This window comes from Homo sapiens, chromosome 11 (assembly GCF_000001405.40).
Source record: "Homo sapiens chromosome 11, GRCh38.p14 Primary Assembly".
Classification (NCBI taxonomy): Eukaryota; Metazoa; Chordata; class Mammalia; order Primates; family Hominidae; genus Homo; species Homo sapiens.
This window is the reverse complement of record NC_000011.10, coordinates 98,530,765-98,542,419: the sequence shown is the minus strand read 5'-3', so window position 1 is coordinate 98,542,419 and position 11,655 is coordinate 98,530,765.

Here is an 11,655-nt window from a genome sequence, read left to right as displayed (position 1 = left end):
AAACTGGCTTCTTCTAAAGTTGTTTGATTGGCCAGGAGCGGTGGCTCACGCTTGTAATCCCAGCACTTTGGCAGGCCGAGGCAGGCGGATCACAAGGTCAGGAGTTAGAGACCAGCCTGGCCAACACAGTAAAACTCTGTCTCTACTAAAAATACAAAACAATTAGCTGGGCGTGGTGGTAGGCACCTGTGATCCCAGCTACTTGGGAGGCTGAGGCAGGAGAATCCCTTTATCCTGGGAGGTGGAGGTTGCAGTGAGCCGAGACTGTGCCACTACATTCCAGCCTGGGTGACAGAGCTAGATTCAGTCTCAAATAAATAAATAAATAAAGTTGTTTGATTATGTGTTACCTAGCATGGGTGACTCCATTATGGTTTTCCTAGTCTGTTGGAGCCTAGTGCAAGTGCTTAGTCCAAAACAATCACCTCCTATAAATTATACTTACCACTCATAAAAATTATTTAATATTTATCTTTTTAACAGACTGTAAGTACTAACACGGCTTGAGATAGATATCTTTTTTTACCATTCATATGAAGATTTTACACTTGGTAGCATACACTCAATTTTTGCTGTTCTGTGAAATGAAACATGGCTATACCCAATAATGGATTTCCAAATGCGTATCTCTGTTACTTCTCCCTCCAACTTCTAAAATTTCCCCAATGCCTTGACTCCAGTCCACCTACTTAGTAAAACAATGTTATGTCTTTTGTCCAAATATATGCCAAATCTCATACCAAATTGTGTCCTCTGAAATGAGCCACCTCACACAATAAAAATCACTTAAAAATTAGATAATTCCTATTTGTATTTGTTTACTTATACTTTGATTATACATTATATTTTAAATAGGAAGTAAAGTATATGAATACTTTGTGAGTAGTTTATAGTACGAAAATACATTCTCTTTTGTTTCCTACATTTGCTATGTCAAGGTTCAATTTATTTGATTAATTTTATTAATCAAATAAACTATATAAAATTGAAGAGTTTATGAATCGAAGTATGAACAGATGCCCAATAATAAATTAACATGTCATCTTCTGGTAAATTTTAATTCACACTGATTATCTCTAAAAAAGACAATGGAATATTTAGTGTTATAGCAATATACCAGAAATAAAAGACACGGGCTGGGCGTGCTGGCTCACACCTGTAATCCCAGCACTTTGGGAGGCCGAGGCAGGTGGATCACACGCAGTCAGGAGTTCAAGACCAGCCTGACCACCATGGAGAAATCCTGTCTCTACTAACAATACAAAAAAATTTCCTGGGTGTGGTGGTGTGTGCCTGTAATCCCAGCTACCCTGGAGGCTGATGCAGGAGAATCACTTGAACCCGGGAGGCGGAGGTTGCAGTGAGCTGAGATCGCACCATTGCAATCTAGCCTGGGTGACAAGAGAAACTCCAACTCAAAAAAAAAAAAAAAAAAAAAAGGGAGAAAGAAATAAAAGACACGACATTTTACTTTCATTAAACCTAGGTTTATTGTTAAAAGCAGCTAATTTTGCTGCATGACGAGGTAAGAAAGCAAGTTGCTTACAGACTAGAACATGTGCAAAATGGAATTTGCTTCTGTCCTTTTCCAGAAGACAACATTTCCAGATTTTACTTCTTTAAAATATATTATTCATAAAATTAGAGAAGTTTTTCAAACACTTTTCAAAAACATGATAGAAAAGTTATTTGTCATCTTCATCAGAAAACAGTCTTGATTTAGGATGAGGAAATATAATTAGCTATTCCATTCATCAGTATTTCCTATCCTTTTAAAAAAGATACTGTCTTTAATTCTCTAAAAAAGATATTTTCTTTAATTCTACAAAATATGCAAGGTCTGTAGAGTAGACATCCACAATCATGTGTGGATGCTCTTTTTGAATTTCTTTTAATTTGTAAGATCTTTATTATGCTGTCCAAGATGAAATAAAAGGAAATTTAATGTAAATGTTATTACCTGTTAAAAGCCATGAAGTATTTATTTCGATTTATGCAGAATATTTGTCAAAAAATTTTGTCCAAGGTAAAAGAAATAAGAGGAGGTGAAAGGAGAGGGAAGCAACTATCAAAACAAATATACAGTAAGTTTAAAACAGACAACCAGAGTGTAATCAAAACAGGACATTGAATCCTATTTACTTTTGTCAATGTAGCTTCCTTCATTTCTAATTATCCCTTTCTTCCCAGGTATTTTTACTTGGTAACTGAAAGCTATGCTGTTAGATTTCTCTCTTTCTCATCAGACACTGGGTTGATATATATATATATAGTTCTTGTTGGTTTAAGGCTGCCACGATATTTCCCCTTGGGGAGAAGATACCATTTTCAATCCAGAAGGTTAGCAGAATGTGAAATCATTTTTGATTACTGTTCTTCTATTTCATCCTGGTTCAATTAGTATAGGATATTGTATTTGTGAATTACCTGTCATCCAAGGCTTCCTGGTATGTTTATAATAGCAAATGAACTATAAGCTAAGAATTTTCTATAATGTGGATGTAAAGCTGTTTATTATGTGATCCACAATGATTGCATTGGTATATTAGCTAAGAAAGGAATTGTGTATATTAATTCATTTTACAATCGCATTATTTTTGCTATGCCATCCCCTTATCCACGCCAAACAAAAAATAAAGTAAGAATACAGATTATTTTCATTGGTAATTCATATAAGATCCTCAACATTACATAAAATTATTGCCCTTAAGGTGGTGGAAAAGTAGACTAAAACTATCCATTTTCAGATTATTTTAGTTGTACAGATAACTTATTAATAGAAGAAAAGTAAACAATTAGAGAATCTTAGAGAATCTCTTATTATAACTGATTCCTACATGTGATTTAAAATTTTTAATAATTTCCATTTTAGTAATTATTGAAAGAAAGCCAAATTATATTAATTTCTGTTTCATCTGGTTATATGTGAAACATCAGAATTGCAGTCTATTAAAACACCATTTCATTCTCCAGAGATTAGAATCTTGATATCTCAAAGGGTAAATTTAGCCCTTTGTATATATTAATGGTAAAATAATACTGAGAGCTAATTTAGCATTATTGTGTTATAGCAATCAAAATATCCCCTGTATTTTTAACATTATAAGCAACACAAGTCATTTTTATATATACATTTAACACTAATCAAATAAAGAATAGAAAACTATGACAGGAAAGAACACAAAAATTATTTGAATATCTCCAATATTTTACAAGTCAAATTATATGTGGTCTAAAGAGGAAGTAATCATGTGTATTCTCCAGACTTCCAGACTTTAAGTACTCGTCTGATATATTTTCACTTTTTGAGTAACAAATTCCTTTCTCTCTCTCTCTTTTTTCCCCTTCCTCCATTCCTCCTTTCCTCCCTTCCTGTCTTTCTCCCTTTTTTTCCTCTTTTCACAGGCAGATGAGAAATTTTGAAAGATATGCAGCAACCTAGTGTAATGATATATGTATGATTAATATTAAAGTGGTTATATTGTATATATATGCTGAAGATTGAAGTAATTTTATATAGAGAGAAAGAGAAACTACAAACAACTGAAGATATAGGAGACTTAAACAACTGAAGATATAGGAGACTTAAACAACTGAAGATATAGCAGACTTAAGCCTAACCTAGATATAAGTTACATCCCATTGAAAAATAAAAATTTATTCAATTTAAAGCACAGCTCCCTATCATTATATTAAAAACCTCTTTACTGCCTCATTTCACTGAGTAAATCTAACTGCTAAGCAAGAATAAAACCTTCTCTCATTAAACTGGCATCTTTATTCCCTTGAGGTTCGAATTCTATTTGCTCCCCTGGAGGATTTTATTTTATTTTATTTTATTTTATTTATTTATTTATTTATTTATTTATTTATTTATTTATTTATTTAATTTTGAGACAAAGTCTCGCTCTTGTCCCCCAGACTGGAGTGCAATGGCGCAATCTCGGCTCACTGCAACCTCCACCTCCCGGGTTCAAGCAATTCCCCCGGAGGATTTTAATAGTTAAAAATACGTATTTCCTTTCTTTGATTCTCTCAGACAAATTTCCTGTTTGGTATTTCACTCAGTTTTAAGTAAAACAGAAATTAAATTGTGAGCTTTGTCGTTCCTTGTTCTGTTATGCAGCCAAGCAAACTCTCAGATCTTCAGTTATGCGACTGCAATATTGCAATTAATCCCCTTTTCAAAGGCAGGATGATAGTCAATTCTCCATAAGAAAATATGATCTAAAGAGTGACATTCATTTTTATTATTTCAAAACTACAAGTCAAGAATATCTAATTTTTCTATACAAAGTAATAAGTATTTTAATTATCCACATTTATTTTCCTCAGTTAAAAAATGGAGAAAATAATCTCTGGCCCCTGTCTTCTTCTTGTGAGTTGGCACAAAATTGCTTAGGTAGATAATAGACAGTGTGATTGGAATTTTTGTGTTGTTAAGAGATTAGCAAGTTCGCTTTCTTTGGTATGTTTTGGTTTGATTAGGTTTGGGGTAGGGGAAAGTGCCCATTCTCTTACGTGCTGTTATAAGTTAATTGTAATATTCAAGAATATTAGAAGTTAAAGATGAACTTGTAAAATAATAGAAAAACTTGAAACAACATATTTTCTAATATGACAGCAATTCTTATTCTAGTTGTAAATTTCCAAAGTTTTTTTTTTATTTTTATCAATTGAAGTAATGCATTTTACACTCATTTAGGACTACCCTACTATATGGCAGGCAAAGTGCTAATGTCATCAGTTCTGGAAGCATAGGAGAGAGGAAGACAGAAATCCAAATCAATGACTATGAACAGTATGGTAATTGCTTGATAGAAATATGTAAAGAATGCTAAGAAAAAATATAAAGGAGGAGAATTGAAACCAGGCTGATCTTTTTTTTTTTTTTTTTAAGAGGGAGTCTTGCTCTGTCACACAGGCTGGAGTGCAGTGGTGCAGTGGTGCCATCTTGGCTCACTGCAACCTCTGCCTCCCAGGTTCAAGCGATTTCCCCGCCTCAGCCTCCCAAGTAGCTGGAACTGTAGGTGCCCGCCACCATGCCTGGCTAATTTTTTGTATTTTTAGTGGAGACAGGGTTTCACTGTATTAGCTAGGATGGTCTCGATCTCCTGACCTCGTGGTCCGCCCAACTCAGCTTCCCAAAGTACTGGGATTACAGGCGTGAGCCACCGTGCCCGGCCAGGCTGATTTCTTAAGTGTCCAGATAGTGGTTAAATTTTGCCTCAGTTTTAGGCTTGAGGAAATAACAAATGTAAATCCAGAAGGTTGTGGGAAAACATGACATCTGTAGAATTTACTGGTATTAAAAGTAATGGCAAAACCGCAATTACTTTTACACCAACCTAATATTTCCATATGACTGGACTAGAGGGGGTGGATGGGATTCATGAAAAATGTGACTAGAATGAGAGACTGGAGCCAAAGTATATAGGACCAAGTGTGCTACGTAGGCAGTATTTTATTTATTCTAAACACACCAAGAAGATCACCATTAATGAATTTTACACTGGGAAGTGATTAAATGAGGTTTATTTTGTTTCCCCAGGAAATTATTTTGTTATTTGGGCATTTAAGGATATTCTAGGATAAGGACAAGACACATGAAGTTATATAAAGGGCATACAAACCAATTCTTATAGAAGAAATTAAAGAAGTTAATAGCAAGCCTCATTATATCTCCCAAATTGCCAAATTCACAAACCTATGTGATTTTATAAGTGAATATGAACAAACTCTCAAAATTACACAATTTCAATACCATTTAAAATTTTTTAGTAAAGAGAACAAGGAAATATTTCAAAGATCTGTCCTTAACAAAGGCTGGGACGTATTAACAAAATGTGACAAAACCAGTATTAAAAAACAACTAAAAATATATACTCATGTATATATTCAAATTTATTTTAAATAACAGAAAAGAAAATCTGGTAGTATATCCACATCATGACTTATATAATTCATTCTAGATTTGTAAGAACAGTAGAATATTAGAAAGTCTATAAATATAAATCATTAATAAGTCACAGAAGAAAAAGATAATGTTATCTCCATAGCTGCAGAAAGGCATTTAATTATATTCAATAGCCATTAGTACAAAAAACTCACACGAACACATACACAAAAACAAAGACAAAAATAGCAACTACCAAAAATACTAGTAAAATAGACATAAATGAAGATATGGAAACTGCTGTATCATGATGACTGTGTGTATGCATGTATAAATAAAATGCCATCAGTATTACCTACTGCTGAAATTTTAGAAGGACTTCCATTAAGTCAGGATATAACTACCACATTATTATTTAATATTTTTCTAAGTGATGCAGTTGGGAAAGCAAAGGGAAGCAGAAAGCAAATTAATCAATGTTCATCAGAAGAAAATTAATAACTTAATTGTGAAACACCCATACAAAGTACCGTTAGCTTTGCAGTAATGAGATAAGAGGAATGAAATAAGTTTATATGTGGTATTATGAGATGATCCATATGGTAAGTGCAAATAGCAATAACTATTATAGAAGAAAGTGTATAAGCTCTTATTTCTGTAAAAAAAAGATGTATACTTGTTTATCTGCTTATACATGCATACAATTTTGGGATGATATATACATACCTTAAATGAACAGACCAGTGTCCTTTCTCTTTACTTTTGGTAATGGGATTATTATTAATTTTTGTTACGTACTGTGTTTCCTTTTTGGTTATTTTGTTATTTATTTATTTATTTTTTTTTTGTTTTGAGATGGAGTCTTGCTCTGTCGCCCAGGCTGGAGTGCAGTGGCACTATCTAGGCTCACTGCAAGCTGCAAGCTCTGCCTCCTGGGTACATGTCATTCTCCTGCCTCAGCCTCCCGAGTAGCTGGGACTACAGGCACCCGCCACCACTCCCAGCTAATTTTTTTGTATTTTTAGTAGAGATGGGGTTTCACCATGTTAGCCAGGATGGTCTCGATCTCCTGACCTTGTGATCTGCCCACCTCGGCCTCCCAAAGTGCTGGGATTACAGGCGTGAGCTACCGCGCCCATCCTTCGTTTTTATTAGTCGTAGGCATGAATAATCCTTTTTAAAGAGGTTACTTTAAAAATCTATAGAAATTATGTTCCTTAATTTTTAAAAATTATTTTCATATTAAAAATTTCACCTCTTTAAATCAATCAAATCACAAACTCCCTGTTCCATATTTATCCTCTTTCACAACACAGATAATTTTGATTTTTTTAGTATCTATTTTTTAAAATCATATTTTAGTTATTGTAGTTTAAAATTGGGGTTACATCTCTTATTTCCTACTTCTGTGGAAAGACATTGAGTCATAAGACTTGACGACTAAATTTTTAGAAGAACTATTCTATAAAAAGTTAATCACAAATAGTTCAAAGTGAAGGCAATTAAACTTTTAAAGGCATGGTCTAGAATAGCAATACTGGTTTACAAATGAAGGGGTGTAGATCATTGCTTCTAAACATTAGTAGGAGTATGGCCTTTAATGGTCTCTAATAAAATAGGTTAATTATATTTCTACATTCGCTTAGGGCAAAACTCTTCTCTCATTATACAGGATACAAAATCTGAAACCAAAGTAGATCCATGGATTTCATTTAAGATTTCTGAATTGGAGGATGTTTTTGAATGGGTTAAGGAAGAATTTTGTTTCTGATGAGACAGAGAAGCAGAGATGATGAAAGAAATAAGGTACTTAAAACAAAAATAAAGTGAATAATTGAACATTAGCCATTGAAATTAGCATAGGCTTCTCTCCAGATTGTGAGGCTAAAATAAATAGTCTTCATTCACAAATCATCTTAAAGGCTTAAGTCCATATGGAATTTTAAGTATAAATAATGCAGATTGATTTACACTGAATGAATAAATTTTTAACTCTTTATTTTTTTACATGGTTTTATATGACACCTTTCACTTCCTTCATACTGAAACAATAAAAGGAGTCACAAAATCTCTTAAAACAACTTACTCCAAAATCATCAACATGAGACGTATGAGGTGTTAATCTGGAACATATACGAACTGAGGTGATGCAGGGGGAGTTTTAGTACTGTTCTGATCATCCAAGATTAAGAGGAATCTTGGTGATGGAAAGCTTTGTAAATAAGCTGCTGTTTTTTTCTTCAGCTGACTCTGACTTTGAAGTCTACTAATATACATGTCAATGAAATGAAATAGAGAATCTAGATTCAAATAATTTTCAGTAAAAGGGAAGTGTTCTTACCATAATTATAATTGATATCTTGGGCTCTAAACGAATTATTTCTTTTATTGGCTTTGGCTTCTGTAACCTCTCATTGATTCTTACCATTATTTTCACTTTCTGAGGATGCAAATTCAGTAATTTAAGTAAGCTGTAGGCCAGGAAGGTTTTATTGTTGTTATTTCATTAATCTTTTTTTGCTTTCTTTTTAAATAGTGACAGTCGAATACATCCAGCAAATTACCTAGTATTTATAAATTTTTATTTGCTATTTTACTAGAAAGTTCTTAAACACTATAATTTTCATAAAGTAATTACACAACTTTAGCTATATACTTTGCAAGATCACATATTAATATATTTGTTTATCTTTTGTTTTCACAGTAAATAATTTCCCTTACTAAAAGAATACCACTAACAGATATCTACTCATATTATTTTTTACAATTGCTCCAGTGCCATTTTATGACTTTGTAAAACTGACAAAGTAAATCTTTTTTTCTGTGACGTATAAGGTCTTGCCAATTTGCTTTTTCTGTGACATTCTCCTAGCACATGGTGCATCAACTTATGGATTAAAAAGCCTAAGCATTTATTAAATAAGAGAAGTAAATTAGTTGATAATAAAAATAAAATAGAAACTATCTCCTCTACATGAGTCTATGTAGATATGAATAACAAGGAATAAAGAATAATTATTAAGGTAGCAATAAATATAAAATGTTGGTATAATTCATTTAGGTCTTATATATAAACCCATTCATTATTTGTACACATAACTGCTGTGCTTGTTAAGTCTTGCCTTTAACTCCTCCAAGTAATAAAGAATAAGTAAAATAATGAGTAATATAAGAGTAAGTAGAAGACTTCACAGCCTCAGATGTTCATGGACCATAGATGTGAGCATTATTTCTTTAGTATAGGCTATCAGTTTCAAACAGGTGTTTAAAATTAAAAGCTGAGCATTAGATTGAATATTATGTTAAAAAAAAAAACTAAAAATACCACATGCTTCTTGATGGGTTCACCAAGAAAATAGTCTAATGATTCACAAGCTTTAGAATGTGGGGCTGGTTAAAAACATAGATGATAAAACTTCACTGGTAAAGTCAGATTTATTACAGATTGCAAGAATCTGCCTTTTCACTAGTACCACATTTCCATCTAATGTGTTATTAGAGAAATACTAACCTAGGGAATTTTCTCAAATTTTTCACATGTAGTAATTGCTTTTTTACATTGCCCAAAGACAAAGAGGCACAGAAGACCTATTCTCACGAAAGAGACTCACGGTAAACAACCGAACAAAATGACAATTAATAATAAGAAGCAACTGCCAAACAGGTTAGAATGTTTGTGTTGTCTTTACAGAATATTCCCCCTGGGAAGATAAATTATTTCATGTGACCGTAGTTCTTGTAATATGGAATTAAACATGGGGAAGAGGTTTATTTGATCAGATAGATTTAAGAAATTGTGAATGGATGATTTACTCACCTGCACTACAGGACTTCTCAAACCACAAAATTTAGGTATGAATTCCAGAGTATCTTGTAGAAATGTAGATTCTGATTCTGTAGATGTTGCGTGGGCTCCCAATTTCTGAATGTTTAACAAGCTCTCAGGTGATATAGATACTGATGTTGCTGGTCCAAGGACCACACCTGAAGGAACAAAGCACTAATAAGACCCTGGAAAAATCAAAGATTCTAGTCAGCTGGTCAATATACTTTTCTTAAGTTCCCAGTTTTTGCCTAATAAACTTTTCCAAGAAAAAATACATTTCAATTAAATATGTAAAAAATTTATCCATATACATATAACTATATAACTGATATATACATATATGTGTATCAATGCTTTTTTGAGAATATTCTTTGGGAATAGATGAGCTAAATAAATGCATGTAATTACTGAATTTCATAGACTATATATATTCTGATACTTAGTATGTTTGCTAATCTTTTCTTTCTTTCTCAGCAACCTTTAGAGGGACTTATTATTAGTCTATATACTGACTAAACTCCACATATTTCTTTGAACATTGATTGATTCCTTCAACAATAACAAACTATCATTTATATACAAGACATTGCCAGTTTATATGAAACTACGAAGACCATTACATTTGGATTACTGGTAAGAGTTTTAAAATTAAGTTTGGAAAAACCCCAAATAAGATAGACTAGGATTAGTTCTTTAATACAAATATGGATCAAGTGCAAACTAGGTCTTATTAGCCCCATATTATAAATAGAGAATTAAAAACTCCTACAGATTAAGCTACTTGTTTACATTCATATAAATGGCAGAGCTGAGAATCTAAACCACAACTATCTCAATGCAAATTCTAACAACATGTCCTCATATATGAGGTTGCAGGAAAAAGTATTCAAAGGGAAGATGAGAATGAGTAATTGTTACTATAATGGGTCCGTTACCCAATGTGCAAAACAAGTCAATAGGCTGAGTAACCAAGTTGCAGCAAAGAAACAGGTTTAATCATAGGATCACTGAACAAGGAAACAAGAGAAGACCTAAAATCCATCTCCCTAGGGGTTTAATCACTAAGCTAAAAGGAAAAGTCAAACTGGGAACTCAGGGCAAACCTGCCTCCATTCTATTCAAAGTCATACCTCTGTTCACTGAGATAAATGCATATCTGATTGCCTCCTTTGGAGAGGCTAATCAGAAACGCAAAAGAATGAAACCATTTGTATCTTATCTACTTAAGAACTGGAAGCCCCTCCCCACTTGAGTTGTTCCACCTTTGCCTCGAGTTGTCCTGCCTTTCTGGAGAGAACCAATGTTCATCTTACATGTGGATTGATGTCTCATGTCTCCTTAAAATGTATAAAACCAAACTGTGTTCTGACCACCTTGGGCACATGTCATCAGGAACCCCTGAGGCTGTCATGGACACACGTCCTCAACCTTGGCAAAATAAACTTTCTAAATTAACTGAGACCTGTCTCAGATATTCAGGATTCACACAGGTATACCCATATCTGACTTTTTATTTGTATTTAATATCATCTTTTTGAGAGATGGCTAGATTGATACACAGCTATAAATCATAGATTGCTATATAACATCCATTATATAAATATACTATATTTTATGTATCCATTATACTGAGATGGTCAGTTTTGTTGTTTTCAGATTTTTCTATTAACTAAAATGCTTCTATGATCTTCTTTCCTGGTAAATGTGTTCAAGAAACTGTCTTCTCTAGAAAGTGAAGAGTATGAATATTTTCTACTTAACCAAATAAAATTAATTACTTACATAAAGTTTCACCAATATGGGCCAGGTACAGTGGTTCACAGCTGTAATCCCAACACTCTGGGAGGCCGCAGAGGGTGGATAATCTGAGGTCAGGAGTTCGCGAGCAGCCTGGCCAACATGGTGAAACACCGTCTCTACTAAAAATACAAAA